Source organism: Homo sapiens, chromosome 14 (genome assembly GCF_000001405.40).
Source record: "Homo sapiens chromosome 14, GRCh38.p14 Primary Assembly".
Taxonomy (NCBI): Eukaryota; Metazoa; Chordata; class Mammalia; order Primates; family Hominidae; genus Homo; species Homo sapiens.
Window position 1 is genome coordinate 90,070,071 of NC_000014.9, and position 21,139 is coordinate 90,091,209.

General features: G+C 42.0%; 1 protein-coding gene across 1 annotated transcript in view, besides 1 other annotated feature; it reads left to right on the forward strand.

Annotated features, from left to right (window-relative positions):
- KCNK13 (potassium two pore domain channel subfamily K member 13) overlaps window positions 1-21,139 on the forward strand; it is a 123,860-nt gene that overhangs the window by 8,077 nt on the left and 94,644 nt on the right. The gene's annotated exons all lie outside the window — the stretch shown is intronic.
- Window positions 19,352-19,852: an enhancer, noted in NCBI's record as "H3K4me1 hESC enhancer chr14:90555766-90556266 (GRCh37/hg19 assembly coordinates)". NCBI's record gives its function as "activates a minimal SCP1, AML or CMV promoter by ChIP-STARR-seq in primed H9 embryonic stem cells {active_cell/tissue: H9 hESC(primed)}" and the evidence as "EXISTENCE:reporter gene assay evidence [ECO:0000049][PMID:30033119]".

Genomic DNA, 21,139 nt, shown 5'->3' on the forward strand with positions numbered 1-21,139 from the left:
TAAAGTGCTATTTTTAAAATCTAAGCTGCATCATTATTTTATGTACCATCAAGAAAGAAACACTGCCAATTAAATTCTGACATGTTACCTGTTGTGGGATGCATCTCGATTTCAGAGATATTAAAATTTGGGGGAAAGGTGTATCTTAAAATCACTGAAATGTATTTTGTATCTCATTGCTTTCTATATAACCATTATAACATGAGCAGATTGTTGTAATTAGGCAAAAATGAATCTCCTTATAATTAATAGCTCTGATTTTCTATTAAAGTTGATTGATTCAAAATGTTGATTAAAAAATACTTACAGTTCATCTTCTCTGAATCAACTAATTCTTCCCCCATTTTTCTGCTGGGAGCAGGGGGAATGCTGTGTTAATCAAAGTGTCTGTGTGCTTTATAGTTTAAAGATTTCGACCCTGTCTAAAGACTGAATGTGTCATATTTTTCATCCTTTATTCTCTGCTCAATGTCTATAATTTATTATTTATTACTTAGATAGAGAAATGTTTTTCATTTCAATTCAGTTTCGTATTTCAGTCCTTTCCTTGTGCTTTCTTCCATTGTCTTCGTGCTTAAATCTTTTTCCATCCAGATTCCGTAAGAATGCAAGCTTTTCTTCAATATTTTTGCAACTGCTCTCCGTTTCCAGTTATAGCAGTGGCTTTTAAAGCACTTTAATGTGTTGTTTCATGCGAACAATGGCAGGTGCGTTTGGAATTATAGCTGAGGAGCAATGTGTGGTCGTGGGGAATGAGAAAACTGGAAGAGTAGCTGGTGAGAGCTTACCTCCACTCAGGATAGGGTGAGAGGGCCATACCTCTTCCAGCTTCTAAAATTTCGTGGGGAAGCTCAGACAGTCCATTCTGAGAATCCTGGATTTGTTCAATTATTTGTTTCCTGCTGGGAACATTTCAATATCTGGAAATTAGAGCTGTGTTGTAGGACACAGCCCTCACTCTCCATTGCCCAGCATTTAGTATTCATATATGCTCATCTTAGCCCATTGCATTAGAAATTCTTGTTTATATTATAAAATAGAATGGCTTCCTTTTCTTTTATCGTAAATTCCATCCAGTTCTCTCTTTCCCTCTATCCCTTTCTCTATGAAGGAGAGATGGGTTTGGTATGAGTGTTAACCCAAATAATTCTTGGGCTCCTTGGGGTCCTGTCCAAGAAGCTGTCTTCTTTTGAAAGAAGCATGGTCTGTTAGCCACAAATAATGAAAAATAAATTTGATTTTTGCTTGCATCTTAAAAGAACCTTAAAGAGTCTCCAATTTATAACCAAAGAAACTTCTTCCTTTTCTCCTCTCCCAGTCTCTCATATCTCAAAGGAGTTCTGGAACCTCTTATCCCTAAACTCCTCCCCAACTTTCTCCCAACCATCAGCCCTCTGTCTTTCTGTCCCTCCTGGTCCCATCTCCCCACATCTCTCTGTGCTCCCTGTTATCAGGATTGACTTCACTTCTGCAACATCATTTAGCTTTCTCTCAGCATATTTCCTGGATTCCCCACAGTAAAGGACAGTCCTGGTAGTTGACCCAGCAAGCAACAATCTTTTCCCCTTAGAAGGAAGGAGAGAATTGGGAGGCCAAGGTGGGCAGATCATGAGGTCAGGAGATCAAGACCATTGTGGCCAACATGGTGAAACCCTGTCTCTACTAAAAATACAAAAAATTAGCTGGGTGTGGTTATGCACGCCTGTAGTCCCAGCTACTGGGGAGGCTGAGGCAGGAGAATCACTTGAACCTGGAAGGCGGAAGTTGCAGTGAGCCGAGATCGCACCACTGCACTCCAGCCTGGGCGACAGAGTGAGACTCCATCTCAAAAAAAAAAAAGAGGGAAGGAGAGAAGAGTAGGGGAAGATGGTGATCATTAATTAAAGTCATTAATGACTTTACACCTGGGGAACATCTCAGCCATTAGAGGAGGACATTTCTGTGTTCAGACCCAGAAGCACGCAGTCCTGCCGAGGACGGTGGGGAAAATCACCTCATCAGAAGGCACCTCTGTCACAACCCGGCCCTCCCTTCATCCTCCAGCCTTTTTTGCCTCTTTTGGTTCAGCTGATGTGAATTGCCAGACATTATACCAGGACCTTCAGCATACCTACTGCGTCTTCCTTTGGCCAGAGAGTCATCCTTATAAGCCTAATTAGGTGCTCAGGGTATATTTTTCCCATTCTCTAATCAGCTCTCCTGTGTCTCTCAACGAATCGCCTCTCCTTGAAAGGGAAACACTGTAATCCATGAACTCAGGGGTCAGACCGTGAATGTAAATGAGTGTAACGGGGTGTAGGACATTAGGGAGCAGTAGGGCCTTGTGCCCTGGAGAGAGCAGCCCCAACACAGGCATTCAGAGTCTCACTTTGAAACAGCATTGTGCTGGCCAGACGGGTCTGATGGGTGGAGTCCCCCAGTTGAAGGTTTGATGATCATGAGCTCTGGGCTTCCTTATCTTTGGGAGGGAGGACAGGGAGCGCATAGCATCGCTCTTGAGTGTAGCAGAGCTTGCTTTTTATAGTTCACTTAAAGGACGCTTGTTCACAGAGGGTGAACCTTGCATGCACTTATTTCTAAAAGGAACTAAGGGCAGTTACACTCTCTTAAACTCTTCTGATTTCTGCGACTACACATAGTTATTGAAATCTATAAGTATGTATGGACTATTAGCTTTTTCACATTATTTCCTATACACTTTCTCAAGAATTCCACATGTTTATATGAATGCAGAATGGTTTAACTATCCTCAAAGAGTTGGACTTGGGGTTATATGTGATTTTTTTTTTACTATTGCATAAAATAAAAGTATGAAATTTTGGATTTCACCATGGTTAAACACAGTGCACATCTTTGTGTACGTTTAGTTCTAACAACAACCCCATAAGATTGGTACTATTAATACTCTCATGTTGCAAACAAGGATCCTGAGGCTCCAAGAGCTTCTGTGCTCCGTCTGAAGCCACCCAGCTGGAAGCAGTGTGGCATCTCCCTTCAAACCTTACACTCTGAACCACCACTTCTTTGCCTTTTCTTCCTTTAGGGTCCTCGTTGTGGGAAGGATCGCCAGTTAAAGTGACCACGTGTGGTCTCTTTTACAGTGTGGTGGCCCTTAGGTGACCTAGGATAGTCTAAGAAGACAGAAGTGGTCTGGTTAGCAGAATCTCAGGGGAGGCTGATGATGTCTGTGCTACTACGGGTGTAAGGTTTGGGTAGCGTGCTGCCTACCGCCCAGGAGTCCATGCAAACAGAGACTTCTGCCTCCCACCGGCAGTCCTCTCAAAGCTGCAACCTCTCTGCCATCACCATGATGAGGGGTACCCGCCCCCAGGACTTTCATCTCCAATTCAGACATATTTGATCCCAGATGTCACTTCCTGACTTTGCCTATTAACTCTTGGCATGTTGGCACCAAGGTTCTCTGTGTCTTGGGTCTTCTCTCCTTTTAAGCAGCTGATGAAGATCACAAGGCATGGGCCCTGAAGATCAGCCAGGGCTGTGGTTTTCGAACTGTGCTCCCCGGAGCCCGTGGGGTTCATGGTATTTTAAGGGCTGCCTCAAGGGCCAAGAGGACCCCTCAAGTTGTTGTGTTTTTTGTTTTTGTTTTTGTTTTTTCTGGAGACAGAGTCTCACTCTGTCACCCAGGCTGGAGTGCAGTGGCACGATCTCGGCTCACTGCAACCTCTGTCTCCCGGGTTCAAGCAATTCTCCTGCCTCAGCCTCCGGAGTAGCTGGGATTACTGGCACGTGCCACCACGCCCAGCTAATTTTTCTATTATTACAAAATAGAGATGGGATTTCACCATGTTGGCCAGGCTGGTCTCAAACTCCTGACCTCAGGTGCTCTGCCCACCTCAGCCACCCAAAGTGCTGGGATTACAGGTGTGAGCCACTGCGCCCGACCAAGATTTTTTTGTTTTTTTGATGGGGGGACGGAGCCCAGGCTGGAGTGCAGTGACGCGATCTTGGCTCACTGCAACCTCCGCCTGCCCAGGTTCAAGTGATTCTTCCACCTTAGCCTCCCGAGTAGCTGGGACTACAGGCATGCACCACCACACCTGGCTAATTTTTGTATTTTTGATAGAAACAGGGTGTCACCATATTGGCCAGGCTGGTCTCGAACTCCTGACCTCGTGATCCACCCGCCTTGGCCTCCCAAGGTGCTGGGATTACAGGCATTGAGCCACGCCTGGCCTCAAGTTTTTATCTATTTGATTGTTTCAGAGCAGAAGAACTTGATATATTTATATGTCTAAAATATTTATCTTGTTCAGCCACTTTTTTATTGGCTTAAATTTTTTGGTATGTAGAAAAGATTTTTATAGAGCCAAATACACTCACTTTGACCAGCAGCATGTTTTCTATAGCTTTTCATAAATTCAGGTCCCCTCCATGGTTGAGATAAAGATTCTTATCCATTCTCTGTTAAGCTCTTTAACTCATCTCAAATGTTATTTTGAATGATTGCTTTTAAAAAGGTTTTGTGAGATTGACTAGATAGTGATGCTTTGACTTATTTCTAAAATTATCACATAGTGATTTGAGAATATGCATTTTGCAGATTTCTCCTTTTTATTTGTTGTTTCTGTATATCCTGGTGTCTGTATTTATTTCAGTTGGTTTTTCTCTTATGTTACTGAATTTTGGACCTGGAGGAAACATTATCCACAACCACCCTCCAAACAGAAGACACACCCAAAATGGCATTTCATTGTATGTTTATGGGAATATAAATTCAGTGCTATTGCTTTTATCACTTGCATAATTTTTATTACTATTTCATTATAATCGTATTGCCTTTATTTACCTCTGAATGCTTTCTATGCTAATACCTATTTTTAAACTGAGATAAGATTAAATTTCTGCATCATATTAGCAGATACTTGCTGACTTTTAGACCATCTCTTTAGTTGTAATCTTTAGTAATTTTTTTTAAATTAACCACTTAACACATTTTTGTATTTTTATTTTATTATTTTATCTTTGTAGGGAAATTTGATGGACTTAATATTTGGTTTCATTGGTATTATCCTCCTTCATCCTATTTTTCTTATTTTTTAAGTCTGTTTTCAATTCTATATTTTTATTATGATGGCTTAGATGTTCTTTTTGTCATTTAAATGTGATCAGAATGAAATCATATCTAAACTATCTGAGGATAAAAACCATTTCTACCACTATTTTTTATGTTTATAAATAAAATTGAGACCTCGGTTTATTGGTGATACAGAATCTTTCAGCTTGGGGTTCAACCCATTTCCTCCAGCCTCCATGCCTCCCAGGTCCTTGTTGTATCTTTTTCTCTGGAAATGCTTCTTTAAATGACATTTTTACATCTTGGAATCTACCTTGTATCATCACATCTTTTAACTGAGAGCCCATGACCTCTTTAACCTCTCCAGTGGTTTATGGACTTTTCTTTTTTTGAAACAGAGTCTGGCTCTGTTGCCCAGGCTGGAGTGCAGTGGCACAATTTCGGCTCACTGCAATCTCCACCTCCCAGTTTCCAGTGATTCTCCTGCCTCAGCCTCCTGAGTAGCTGGGATTACAGGCGTGCACCACCATGCTCGGCTAATTTTTGTATTTTTTTAGTAGAGACAAGGTTTCCCCATGTTGCCCAGGCTGGTCTTGAACTCCTGACCTCAGGTGATCTGCCCACCTCGACCTCCCAAAGTGCTGGGATTACAGGCATGAGCCACTACAACAGGTCTAGACTTATCTTTTTTGATCTTCCCATCTTTCTCTCTAGTTTCATTCTTCTCATGCCTCTGGACCCTTAGGCTTTGGTTCATCATTCATTTAAACCCCATTGGATCTCCTCAAGCTTTGCTTGTGCCTTCAGACAGAAAGTAAAGGCAAAATAATGAACCTTTGAGAGAATGACTTTTCCTTTGTGATCTGAAAATGATGCCCCATTTAATACTTAGTGGAGTTGGAGGAAAGAGGAAATAACACCACATTTGTTACCTATTTCTTCTGTGTTTTCTGTCTGGTGCTTTTCTTACTCCTAACTCTTTAGCCACTTTTATTGGTACTTAGGTCTCAAGGTACTAGTGTTCCTTTTTGTTGCCTGTAGTACTGCTTCTTCAAAATGACAAGCATATTGACTGCAGGTTGCATTGGGCTGCATGTAGTAGGAAACTCCAATACCAATGGTTTAAACACATAGAAATTTATTTTTCTCATATAGCAAGAAGTTCAGAGGTCTGTGGTCCAGGGCTGATATAATAGTCCCACAAGACCACCAGAGTCCCAGAACCTTCTGTCTTTCTGTTCTGCCAGGCTTAGATGGTGTCTCTGTCTCTCTTTTGCTCATAAAACAGAAATTGTAAGCACTATCAAGACAGGAAGAGGGAAGGAAAGAGGTAAAAGGTGTGTGCCAGCTGAAAAGAACTTTCTGGGACAATTCCAATAACTCATTGGCGTGAACCATGTCAGATTGTCCCCCAACCCCCATCTGTACGTGAGCTCAATGCTATCTCATTGGCGCAAACCATGTCAGATTGTCCCTCAACCCCCATCTGCACGTGAGCGCAATGCTATCTCAAATGCAGCTAGAGTTTCTTTATTGAGACAGAAGGGAAGTCAATATTGTGTAGCAATGATAGTGTGTAGACAACTAACAGTGTACCTCCTGGAAAAATAAAATATTGTCTGAGCGTCTCTCTCTCTGGAATTGTTTTGGAAGGTACTCTGTGAGCAGTTAATGTCTTGCTCAATTGTTTTTCTATTCTGGAGATTAAAAAAAAATTTTTTTTTTATTTCTTAGAGACAGAGTCTGGCTCTGTTGCCATGCTGGAGTGCAGTGGCGTGATCTCCGCTCACTGGAAGCTCTGCTTCCCGAGTTCACTCCATTCTCCTGCCTCAGCCTCCCGAGTAGCTGGGACTACAGGCATCCGCCACCACACCTGGCTAATTTTTTGTATTTTTAGTAGAGACGGGGTTTCACCATGTTAGCCAGGATGGTCTCGATCTCCTGACCTCGTGATCCGCCCGCCTCAGCCTCCCAAAGTGCTGGGATTACAGGCATGAGCCACCGCACCTGGCTTTTTTTTTTTTTTTTTTTTAGACGAAGTTTCTCTCTCATTGCCCAGGCTGGAGTTCAATGGTGCGATCTCAGCTCACTGCAGCCTCCGCCTCCCGGGTTCAAGCAATTCCCCTGCCTCAGCCTATTGAGTAGCTGGGATTACAGGCACTCACCACCACGCCGGGCTAATTTTTTGTACTTTTAGTGTAGACAGGGTTTCGCCATGTTGGCCAGGCTGGTCTCGAACTCCTGGCCTCAGGTGATCCGCCCGCCTCGGCCTCCCAAAGTGCTGGGATTACAGGTGTGAGCCACCATGCCCGGCCAATCCTGGGAATTTTTCTTCAAATATTTCCTTAATGTTAGTTCAGAGAATCCCTGCATTTTTATCTTGTCATACTTATTATTCTCAAGTTGGGTATTCGTGTTTTAAAAAGTCTACTAGGTACTTTTGCTTTGTTTTCATCTATTTGCTTACTTTGATATTGTGGATTTGATTCTCTACCAGCTCACTAATTCTTTTCTCCATTGTCTGATGGCCGTCTGCTGACAGTGCTTTCAGCAGATACTATTTCAGCAGCCTACTGTGTGTCAGGCACTGGCCTGGCATTCCTCTTTGCTATTCTCCTGCTGCCATCCTTTTTATTATCATGTGATAGTTATTGATAGTATCTTATTGTGATCTCTCTCTTCTCTCTTAACATGGATTTTCTTCATTAAATCTTGCTCGCTTGTGGGGTTGCTTCCCTTTCAATTTCTCTGCCTGTTTACTATAAGCCACTCCCATTCCCAACAGAATCACGAAACCTTTCTTTAGGGCTCAAAATCTAAAAACTGAACTTAGGCTACATTTATCATTTTCCTCAGTAAAGCCTGTCTTATTCCTTCTAGCTGCTGATCCTTTTGGCTCCAGATGTTACATATCTGATATTTGGAATAGAGACACGCTATACTATTTCTCAACCTACCATATTTTGAGAGGACTTAGTTTCTTTAACAGACTGTGACCCAGTAACAGCAGCTGTATAAAGAAATGTATAAAAGGGCCAGGCACAGTGGCTCAAGCTTGTAATCCCAGCACTTTGGGAGGCCGAGGTGGGCAGATCACCTAAGTCAGGAGTTTGAGACCATCCTGGCCAACATGGCGAAACCCGGTCTCCACTAAAAATACAAAAATTAGCTGGGCATGGTGGCGCACACCTGTAATCCCAAATACTCAGGAGGCTAAAAGAGGAGAATAGCTTGAACCCAGGAGGTGGAGGTTTCAGTGAACCAAGGTCATGCCATTGTACTCCAGCCTGAGTGACAGAGCAAGACAGTCTCAAAAAAAAAAAAAGAAAGAAAAAAAAGAAAGAGAGGAAGGAAGGAAGGAGGGAGGGAAGGAAGGAAGGAAGAAAGGAGAAAGGAAAGAAAGAAAAAGAAAGAATAAAAGGCATGCTTGGAATACACAGTGATGTAGTTGTGCAGAAAGAAGGAAGGAAGAGAGAGAGAGAGGGAGAAAAGAGAAAGAAAGAGAGGGAGGGAAGGCAGGCAGGCAGGCAGGCATGCTTTGAATACACAGGGATGTAGTTGTGCTGAGAACTCAGCAAAGGGTGAGTTGATTTCATGGGCTAATGGGTGAAGACCGAGCTCCCGGAGCTGATAAAATAGCAATCATCACTCCTTCAATTAAGTAAGAACATTTTTCCTGGAGGACATGGGGCCTAGGGGCTGTTTGGGAAGAGATCATGACCTGCTCATTCTTTCAACAATCCTATGAGTTAGAGAAAGTCAGGCTCAAAAAGAGTGAGTAACTTTCCCAAGTCCACACAGCTGTTAAGGAAGCATATTGCTTAGGAATTTTGTTTGCCTTCAGTGTTACAAAGCCCTGAAAAGTAGCGAAAGCACACAGGGTTTTACTCTATCCCGTAGAAGAGGTCTGCCCTGCAGGTACTGCATGTAGGCAGTTCAGAGTTGCTGTGGGGACTGCACAAAGTCAACCAGGAGTTGGGCCTCTTCAGCTCGGTGGTGTAACCCTAGTGCTCAGGTTCAACATGGCTGCTGGTGTGCTGGCCATCACGTCGACATGCTAGGTAGTAGGATGGAGGAAAGGGAGAGCGAGGGGGTGTCCCTTCCCTTTTGAGGCACTGTCTTTGGGCAGTTTCTCTAAGAAACAGACTCTGGGCTAAGGATTTGGGAGGAAATGATTTATCAAGGAAGTGCTCCCAGAAAAAACTAGTAGGAGTGTGAGGGAATTGAGGATGAGAAAAGGGAATTGAGGATGAGAAAAGGGAAAAGTCAAATGAGGTTATTTTATGGAGCATAAATTACACCTTAGAATTTGGCCCACCTTGAGGCAAAGGAACTGGGTTTTTATACTCCCACACCAGCCAATCATTGGCTGTGGCTGGTGGGGTAGAGGGGCCTACACCACCCAGGTCTCACCTGTGTGCAGTCACAGGTGTGAGCCATTAGCAGCAGAGCCTGCAACTGCTGGGAGATGGACTCACAAGGCTCAAGGGGTTTAGAGGAATCTGGATGGGGCACAAATAGTGTCTCCTATAAGGGGCTTCCCAGAAATTCCAGTTACTTCCCCTTATATTTCATTGACCAGAACTTTGTCACACGGCTGCAAGAATGGCTAAGAAATGAAGTCTTTATTCCAGCTAGTAATGTGTCAGAAAGCAGTACCCAGGAACTCAGAAAGAAAAAGATCCTGGCTCCTGGAGCCCCTGAGAAGAGCTCTGCAGGCCCTGCCTGGGTCATGTTTTCATGACAGACACTTAATGAGTGAGGTCAAGGTCACACGTCCACCTCTGGTGTGAGCAGGGAGTGGGTGTGTTGGGAGGCACACAACTGAAAGTGGAGAAGGAAACAGGTCCCAAAGCAGAAGACTCTTTGCAGATGAGGGAGAGAAGGAGGGAGGGTTGTCCCTGGACACACACTAGTGAGAGTCACTTGGTGGACAATGCTATTGTTGTCTGAGGACGGGATACCAAAGTGAGGACGGCTGGAGGGATCCCTAGTTGAGTTTTGAAGGTATTGAATTTAGGGAGCCGTTGGGACCTTGGAATGGAGACATTCAATAAACAATTGAAGGCCAGGTGTGGTGGCTCACACCTGTAACCCCAGCACTTTGAGAGGCTGAGGCGGGCGCATCACCTGAGGTCAGGAGTTCGAGACCAGCCTGGCCAACATGGTGAAACTCCATTTCTACTAAAAATACAAAAAAATTAGCCGGGCCTGGTGGCGGGTGCCTGTAATCCCAGCTACTTGGGAGGCTGAGGCAGGAGAATTGCTTGAACCCAGGAGGCAGAGGTTGCAGTGAGCCGAGATCACTCTATTGTACTCCAGCCTGGGTGACAGGGTGAGACTCCATCTCAAATAAATAAATAAATACATTTAAAAAATTGGAAAAAAAGAAGTATGACGCTCAGGAAAGAGGTTAGGACTAGAGGTTCCAGATGTCAAAAAAAAATGTTTTATTGTTACTATCTTAGGAGGATGGGATCAGGAATAACAGGTTTTCAGACTTGCTTTTATATTTGCAGCCATCATCCTTTTAACAACAGCAACAGTAATAAAACTCAGTATTGTTTTTTCTCTTTCTTCTTTGTATCCCCAGCCCCAGGGTTCCCCGTTAGGATACTCCTCACCCTAGACTGTCTGGGATCACCTGTTTTGGATTCCCCAGGGCTAAGAGAAAGCCCTAAATAGCTAACCGGCCCATGTCCATTCCCTTAAAAAAAATCTGTGACCCTGGAGCAAGGTTTCTCCACCTCAACACAACTGGCATTTTGGACCAGAGTCTCCTCTGTTGTGGGGCAGTCCTGTGCATCCTAGGGTGCTTGGCACCACCCCTGACAGTGTGCCCCTAGTTGTGACAACCAAAACTCTCCAAATGCCCCCTGGGAGAGAATGACTGCCCTAAAGGGAACCAAAGGATGAGAATCTGCCAGAAGAAAGAGTCTCTTTGGTTCTCTTCTTTCCGCAAGCCTTTCAGGCACTGCGAAGGGCTCAGTGCTGAGCACTGGGACCAAAGAGGAATAAGTCCAGGTTTCAGAAATTGAAAATATGTGGTGATTTCCATTAGTTGGGAAGTTCTAGGCCAAAGGCAAAATTTGGAAACACAAGATTGTGAGTGCGTGGTCCTCTCTCCCCAAACTTTAACTTCAATTATTAACTGCAAGGTGGGTTTTCTTTTTAAAAATACTTTTTCCATTAAAAAATTCTTAATATGTATGCATTTGGATGCATTTTCAAATCATTTCAAAGTATTTAAAGTAAAAAACCAGTCTCCCTTTGCTCCCCCATCCTACTCTCCGGAAATAACCAACTCCAAGAGTTGGATGTGGATCTTTCCAGAATTGTTTTCTCATCCACAAACATGTAAGCCCAAGCACACACACATGAGGTCCTTCACACATATATGTGGTTCTTTATGTAGTTTTTGCAAATTCATTTTTTACACCTACTGATGGTTCTTCTTTAACAGCTTTATCAATGTATAATTCACATACCATAAAATTCATCTATTTAAGGTATACAATTCTGTGGTTTTTAGCATATTTACAGAGTTTTGCAACCATCATCACCATCAATTTTAGGACATTTCAAGTTCTGAAAAAAGAAACCTCATACCCTTTAGCGTTTGCCCCCTGTTATGGTTTGAATATGGTTTGTCCCCACGATAACTCATGTTGAGGCTTGGTCCCAGTGTGGCAGTGTTGGGAGGTGGCGCCTTGAAGGAATGATGAGGACATTAAGATCCATTAATGTCTTTCTCTCCAGACTGGGTTGGTTCTCTCAGGAATGGATTAGTTCCAGTGAGAGTGGATTGTTATAAAGGGAGGTTGCCTCTCATATTTTGCCTGTTTTCCTTTCCATTTCTCCACCATATTTTGATGCAGTGTGAAGCTCTTGCCAGAAGCCACTAGATTCAGTTGCTCAATCTTGAACTTCCCAGCCTGCAAAACCATGAGCTAAATAAACCTGTTTTCTTTTTCAAAACAGAGTCTCACTTTGTTGCCCGAGCTGGAGTGCAGTGGCATGATCTCAGCTCACTGCAACCTCTGCTTCCTGCGCTTAAGTGATTCTCCTGCCTCAGCCTCCCCAGTAGCTGGGACTATAGGCATATGCCACCACACCCAGCTAATTTTTTTTTTTTTTTTAGTAGAGACAGGGTTTTGTCATGTTGGCCAGGCTGGTCTTGAACTCCTGACCTCAGATGATCTGCCTATGTCGGCCTCCCAAAGTGCTAGGATTACAGGCATGAGCCACCGTGCCTGGCCTCCTCTTTTCTTTATTAATTATCTGGTCTCAGGTATTGTGTTACCTGAGCAACACATAATGAACTAAGACACTATCCCCTCCAGCCTTAGGCAACCAATAATCTACTTTCTATTTCTATAGATCTGCCTATTCTGGACATTTCATATAAATGGAATCATACAACATGTGGGCTTTTGTGACTGACTTCTTTCACTTAGCATGTTTTCAAGTGAGCCAAGTTGTAGCATGTATTAGTACTTCTCTCCTTTTTGTTGCCAGATAATATTCTGCTACATGAATGTACCACATTTTATTTATCAGTTAATCAGTTGATGGACATTTACATTGTTTCCACTTTTTAGCTACTATGAATAATACCATACAATGTCGAATAAGTTTATAAAAACGTATGTCCACAGAACACAAGTTTTCTGTGTGGACATATGTTTTCATTTCTCTTGAGCATGTAGGTTTGGAATTGCTAGGTCATGTAGTAACCCTATTCTTTATCTTTGGACAAACTTCCAAAATGGCTATAACATTGTATATTCCCACCGACAGTGTACAAGGGTTCCAATTTCTCCACACCCTTTCCAACACTTTACTATCTCTCTTTGGATGTGAAATAGTATAATATTGTGGTTTTGATTTGCATTTCTTTAATGACAAATGATACTGAGCATTTTTGTGTGTTTATTGGCCATTTGTATACTATCTTAAAAGAAAGATCTGTTCAGATTCTTTGCCCATCTTTTAATTGGGTTATTTGTCCTTTTATTACTGAGTTATGAAAGTGCTTTATATATTCTAGGTTCAAGTCCATTAACTGATATATGATTTGCAAATATTTCCCCCTTCTGTGGGTGTCTTTTCACTATCTTCTTGATGTTCTTTGAAGCACCAAAGCTTTAAATTTTGATAAAGTCCAATTTATTGGATAGAGTTCTATTTTTCCTTTTGTTGCTTATGCTTTTAGTGTCATATTGTAAGAAACCATTACCTAATCTAAGGTCATGAAGATTTATACTTATGTTTTCTTCTAAGAGTTTTATAGTTTCACTCTTACATTCAGGTTGTTGATCCATTTTGAGTTAATTTTTGTGCATGGTATGAAACATGGGTCTGCTGTGGTTTCAGTGTTTGTTTCCTCCACAACTCACATGGAAATTTAATTGCCATTATAACAATATAAAGAGGTGGGACCTTTAAGAGGTGATTAGGTGATGAGGGCTCTGCCCACTTGGATGGGATTAATTGTGTTATAAAAGGGCATGTTTGGCCTCCTTCTCTCTCTCCTTGCCTTTCCACGATGTGATGTATTCCCTCCTGTGATGACAGCAAGAAGACCCTTTCAAACTGTCAGTGTCTTGATCTTGGACTTTGAAGCCTCAAAATTCTAAGAAGTAAATTTCTGTTCTTTGTAAATTGCCCAGTCTGCGGTATTTTGTTATAACACCACAGAATGGACTAAGACAGGATCCAACTTAATTCTTTTGCATGTGGATATCCAGTTGTTCCAGCATCATTTGTTGAAAAGACTAGTCTTAGCCCCATTTAATTGTTTTAGCACACTTGACAAAAATCACTAGTCTTAGCCCCATTTAATTGTTTTAGCACACTTGACAAAAATCAATTAACCATAAACATGAAATTGACATCTGGACTCTCAATTCTATTCCATTGACCTATCTGTCTGTCCTTATTCTAGTGTCTTGATTACTGTGGCTTTGTAGTAAATTTTGAAATCAGGAAGTGTGAGTCCTCCAATGTTGTTGGTTTTTTTTCCCCCAAGATTGTTTTGGCTATTCTGGGTCCCTTGAACTTCATGTGAATTTTAACATCAGTTTATCAATTACTGCAAAGAAGACTTACATTGAATTAATTTGGGGAATTTTGCCATCTTAACAATATTAAGTGTTCCAATCTATGAACATGGGATGTCTTTCCATTTATTTTGATCCTTTAATTTATTTAAACAATGTTTTATAGTTTTTTGGAGCATAAGTTTTGGACTTTAAAAAAATTTCTTAAGTCATTCATTATTTTAATCCTATTGCAAATGAAATGGTTTTCTTGATTTTATTTTGAATTGTTTATTGCAAGTGTGTAGAAATGGAATTAGTTTTTGCATGTTGGTCTTGTATCCTGTGGCCTTGCTACGCTAATGTATTAACTCTAAAAATTTTCAGTCAGTTCCTTAGGATTTTCTATATACATGAATATGTCACCTGTGTGTCCAGATAGTTTTAGTTCTTTCTTTCCCATCTGGATTTCTTTTATTTCCTTTATTTCATGCTTGACTAGAACTCCCACTGCAATGTCGAATAGAGATGATAAGAGTGGGCCTCTTTATCTTATTCCTGATCTTGAAGGAAAGTTTCAGTCTTTCACTATTGAGTATGAAATTGGTTTTGTAGATGGCCTTTACCAGGTTGAGAAAGATCCCTTCTATTTCTAGTGTGTTGAATGTTTTTATCACAAAGAGCTGTTAGATTTTTGCCAAATTCTTTTTCCACATCTATTGAGATGATCATGTGGTTTTATTTTTTATGCTATTTATATAATGTTTTGCATTGATTTTTGTTTTTTATTATTATTCATTTATTTATTTATTTTGAGATGGAGTTTCACTCTGTCCCCCAGGCTGAAGTGCAGTGGCGTGATCTTGGCTCACTGCAACCTCTGCCTCCCAGGTTCAAGCGATTCTTGTGCCTCAGCTTCTGGAGTAGCTGAGATTACAGGCGTGTGCCACGACGCCCAGCTAATTTTTTGTATTTTTAGTAGAGATGGGGTTTCACCATGTTGGCCAGGCTGGTCTTGAACTCCTGACCTCAAGCAATCCACCCACTTTGGCCTCCCCAAAGTGCTAGGATTACAGGTGTGAGCCACTGTGCCCAGCCTAATTTTCGGATATTAAATCAATCTTGAGATAAGTCCTACTTGATTATGGTGTATAATTTTTTTAATATGTTGCTGCATTTGGTTTGCTAGTATTTTGTTTAGGATTTTTGCATCAGTATTCAAAAGAAATAGGCCGGGCATAGTGGCTTATTCCTGTAATACTAGCACTTTGGGAGGCCGAGGCGAGTGGATCACCTGAGGTCAGGAGTTTGAGGCCAATCTGGCCAACATGGCGAAACCCTGTCTCTACTAAAAATACAAAAATTAGCCGGGCATGGTGGCACATGCCTATACTCCCAGCTACTCAGGAGTCTGAAGCAGGAGAATCATTTGAACCCGGGAGGCGGAGGTTGCAGTGAGCTGAGATCCATGCCATTGCACTCCAGCCTGGGTGACAGAGTGAGACTCTGTCTCAAAAAAAAATATATATATATATTTTATTTATGTATATAAATTTATATATTATATATACTTATATATAATATATATATACTTATATAATTATATATTATATATTATATAAATTATATATATTATATATTATATACTTTATATTATATATTATATTATATATTATATATTATATATTATATAGATATTATATAAATATATAATATATAAATTTATATCTATCTATCTACCTTTTTCCTTTTCTTGTGCCCTTTTTCCTTTTCTTATGCCCTTTGTCTTGTTTTGGTATCAGGATAATACTATAGATCTATAGAATTAGTTGGGGCATGTTCATTCGTAGTTCTTGTATCTTTGTGAGGTTGCCCAGGATACTTAACTATGATATGGATATTCATTAATTTAACCATTCTTCCTATTGTAAGACATAGGTTATTGCTAATTATTTGCTAGCACAACTGCTTTATACACCATATTTTCACTGTAGTATTTAAATTTTAAATATTTTATAGGTACTGCCAAGTTTTGGAGAATTTTTAAATTTAAATATTGTCAGCTAATTTGCAATAATCTTATTCTCACTGCTAACATATACTATATTTTTCCTCTCCTGTGGTACTATACAAAGAGCTCTACATAGATAAACTTTCATCCTATGGGGTAGGACTATTATTTTCCCCCATTCTATAGGTGAGAAAACTGAAGCACAGAGGTTACATAGCTTGCCCAAAGCCACACAGCTAGTAGGTGGTAAAACTTTGTTTCAAACTTTGTTCAGCCATGATTTAAACTGGGAGAAGTGGTGGGTAGCCTCCAAGATAGTCAAAATTCTAGTGAAAACTGAAATAAAACCTATGGCCCCGGTTCAGTATTTCTTTTTGTCATCAGTGGATGTTTTTGTGTTTTATTTGATGTTACTGATGAATATATTTTGCAGGCTATTGCTTTGAAGAAACAGGGCTGCCAGGTTGTATACTAAGGAAGACGTCTGGGGGTCCCATGCTTGGTTTGAATGGTGTCTTTCTTCCCTGCTTATCTCCTTAGAACCACACCCAGCACTCATCCCATATCAAATGTAAACCTCAGTTTGGTTCAGTCAGAATTTATTGAGTTCTTACTATTGGCCCAACCTGACTGCAGGAGTTCTTAAGCCGGGCCCATGAATAGAATTCAGAGCATCTATAAATGTAGATGGTAAAATAATTCCATCTTTATATTTACTGGCATCCAACTAACCCCTGAGGGACTAACCTTGAGCATATCTTCCAATGATGAATGATGAATGTAGGTAACAACCCTGACATAGGATGAGCAGGGCCTGTAGCTTTGGCACCAGTGAAATCACAGATCCATTCCCTCCACCTGATAGTCAGGGCAGATCCCTTATCCTTCACCCTCACCACTACCTTAAAATCATGGTGGTTATTAGCCTTAATTTTATTATTTCATTTTATATATATATACATATATATATACATATATATATATATATATATATATATTTTTTTTTTTTATTGAGATGGGGCCTCACTATGTTGCCCAGGCTGGTCTCAAACTCCTGGGCTGAAGCAATCTGCCTGCCTCAGCCTTTCAAAGTGCTGGGATTACAGGCAAGAGCCACTTGCCCAGGCCATTATTTCGTGGTTTAATAACAAAGCACATTTAATGTGTCGCACATTTATTTCATTGTTTAGTAACTGTGTTTTAATACAGCTGCTTTTGTAATTTTATACATTTTATTTCATTCATTAAAAATAAATTATTCTAAGAAGGGACCAATACACTTCCCCAGACTGCCAAAGGCTCCGGGTAGCAGAAAACAGGAATTGAGAACCAGACCAAGGTTAGGCTAGTTTTGAATGAAGAGAAAAAGGGAACCTGCCACTGCCTCCATCCCCGCTTCTCATGATAGAGCATTCATCCACTTGTAGTTGTTTGAAAACGGACTTGCAACACTCTCGTTGCTCAATCACTGCGCAGCATAATCTCAGCTCTTTGTGATGATTCAGAAGCCATTTCAGGATGTTGCCAGGTGCTGAGGGTCATCATTGGCAGCATAATTTACCACAGTCCCTTAGAGCAGTGGGGGAAGAAGCAAGCATTTGGAAATGTCCTATTTATAGAGTACCCTTTGTACAGTGTAGGGGACTTTGTTCAGAGTTCCCGCCCTGCTCCCTTGTCTCTGCCTTCTCAGCTAGTGATGATGTCCTTCTGGTGCTTAGCCCACCACCTACCCTGTGGTTTCAGCATGCCATGTATACTTGGCTGTAAATGCTGATTTTGGAATATATAATATTGCTTCTTGGTGATTCAATGCTACTTCTTGCTTAAGTTTATTTATTTATTTATTTTTATTTTTTAATTTTTGAGACAGAGTCTCGCTCTATCACCCAGGCTGGAGTGCAGTGGTGTGATCTCAGCTCACTGCAACCTCCACCTCCTGGGTTTAAGCGGTTCTTACACCTCAGCCTCCCGGGTAACTGGGATTACAGGTGTGTGCCACCATGCCTGGCTAATTTTTGTATTTGTAGTAGAGACAGGGTTTCACCATGTTGCCCAGGCTGGCTTCTTGCTTAAGTTTAAATTAGAAATTGCCACTGGCCTTGGACCAAAGGCAACATGCTTTATTAGGTCCACAGATGTTGATGAGTTGGTAAATGTTTAACAACAAGCTTAAAAAGAAAGAAAGAAAGAAAGAAAGCTCTGATTCATAGCATTTGCCTATTTCTGTGGTGTAAATATTCCCACAATGGCTGGTTTCAAGCCATAAAAGTGAAGTTCCCGAAGGCAGAAGGCAGAATAGAGAAGAGATGTGCACAGTCAGCTCTCAGGCGCCTTTCCCAGCCAGCTCCACCTCACTGCTGTGGACCTCAGAGTGCTTGAGAAAACCTGAATTCACTGTCAACTTTTTAACATCAGATTTCCCAGTCGAAATATAGATTTCTGATTTCTCTTGGGAAAATGGAAAATCTGGCAATGTCAGGCCCACATTCCTCTGTGCCAGCCATTCACTGAAGATGAGCTACAGATGATCCCTTTGGGGAGTGATATGGTTTGGCTCTTACCCCACCCAAATCTCATCTTGAATTGTAACTCCCACAATTCCCACGTGTCATGGGAGGAACCTGATGGGAGGTTATTGAATTATGGGGTTGAGTCTTTCCTGTGCTATTCTCATGATAGAGAATGAGTCTCATGAGATCTGATGGTTTCAGAAACAGGAGTTTCCCTGCATGAGCTCTCTTTGCTTGCCACCATCCATGTAAGACTTGACTTCTCCTCCTTGTCTTCTGCCATGATTGTAAGGCCCCCCAGCCATGTGGAACGTAAGTCCATTAAACCTTTTTTTCTTCCCAGTCTCGGATATGTCTTTATCAGCAGCATGAAAACAGACTAATAGAGTAAATTGATACCAGTAGAGTGGGGCATTGCTGAAAAGATACTTGAAAATGTGGAAACAACCTTGGAACTGGGTAACAGGCAGAGACTGGAACAGTTTGGAGGGCTCAGAAAAAGACAGGAAAATGTGGGAAAGTTTGGAACTTCCTAGAGACTTGTTGAATAGCTTGGACAAAAATGCTGATAGTGATATGAACGATAAGGTTCAGGCTGAGGTGGTCTCAGACAAAGATGAAGAACTTGTTGGGAACTGGAGCAAAGATGACTCTGGTTATGTTCAGCAAAGAGACTCAAGGCATTTTGCCCCTGCCCTAGAGATTTGTGAAACTTTGAACTTGAGAGAGATGATGTAGGGTGTTTGGCAAAAGAAATCTCTAAGCAGCAAGGCATTCAAGAGGTGCTATTGAAGGTGCTGTTAAAGGCATTCAGTTTTATAAGGGAAATAGAGCATAAAGTTTGGAAAATTTGCAGCCTGACAATATGATAGAAAAGAAAATCCCATCTTCCGAGGAGAAATTCAAGCTGGCTGCAGAAATTTGCATAAGTAACGAGGAGCCAAATGTTAATCCCGAAGACAATGGGGAAAATATCTCCAGGGCATGTCAGAGGTTTTCACAGTAGCCCCTCCCATCACAGGCCCGGAGGCCTAGGAAAATAATGGCTTTGTGGGCCAGGCCCAGGGTCCCCGTGCTGTGTGCAGTCTAGGGATTTGGTGTCCTGTGTCCCAGACAATCCAGCCATGACTAAAAGGGGCCAAGGTACAGCTCAGGCTGTGGCTTCAGAGGGTGCAAGCCCCAAGCCTTGGTAGCTTCCGTGTGGTGTTGAGCCTGCAGGTGCACAGAAGTCAAGAATTGAGGTTTGGGAACTTCTGCCTAGATTTCCGAGGATGGTGGAAATGCCTGGATGTCCAGGTGGAAGTTTGCTTGAAGGGGCGGGGCTCTCATGGAGAACCTCTGCTAGGGCAGTGTGGAAGTGTGGGGTTGTAGCCCCAACAAAGAGTCCCTACTGGGGGCCCCTACTGGGGCACCACATAGCAGAGCTGTAAGAAGAAAGCCACTATCCTCCAGACCCCAGAATGGTCAATCCACCGACCGCTTGCACCATGTGCCTGGAAAAGCCAGACAATACCAGCCATGAAAGCAGCCGGGAGGGAGGCTGTGTCCTGCAAAGCCACAGGGGCAGAGCTGCCCAAGACCATGGGAACCCACCTCTTGCATCAGCATGACCTGGATGTGAGACATGGAGTCAAAGGAGATAATTTTGGAGCTCTAAGATTGGACTGCCCTGCTGGATTTCAGACTTGCATGGGGCCTGTAACCCCTTTATTTTGGCCAGTTTCTCCCATTTGGAGTGGGTATACCCAATGCCTGAACCCCCATTGTATTTAGGAAGTAACTAACTTGCTTTTGATTTTACAGGCTTATAGGCAGAAGGGCCTTGCCTTGTCTCCAATGAGATGTTGGACTGTAGACTTTTGAGTTAATGCTGAAATGAGTTAAGATTCTGGGGGACTGTTGGCAAGGCATGATTGGTTTTGAAATGTGAGGACATGATATTTGAGAGGGGCCAGGGCAGAATGATATGGTTTGGCTGTGTCCCCACCCAAATCTCATCTCGAATTGTAACTCTCACAATTCCCACGTGTCATGAGAGGAACCCAGTGGGAGGTAATTGAATCATGGAGGTGGGTTTTCCCATGCTATTCTCGTGATAGTGAATGTGTCTCATGAGATCTGGTGGTTTTAAAAACAGGAGTTTCCCTTCACAAGCTCTCTTTGCCTGCCGCCATCCATGTAAGGCATGACTTGCTCCTCCTTGCCCTCTGCCATGACTGTGAGGCCTTCCCAGCCATGTGGAACTATAAGTCCATTAAACCTCTTTTTTGCCAGTCTCGGGTACCTTTATCAGCAGCATGAAAACAGAATAATACAGGGAGCTCAGTGCTTCTTCTGGTCCCACCTGCCTAGGCTGAGTGTCACCTGCCATTCATCTCTATGTTTGACCTCTTTCCTGTCCCTTGGCTCAAGTGCCGAGGTTCCTCTTGTCTCTGAGATATGTGAACCAAGTGATCTTATCACCTAGATTTTTAATCAGAATCTCAAGAAAGAGTTAGAGGGCCCCACATGATATTATTTTTTTAAATTGCATCCAGTTTGA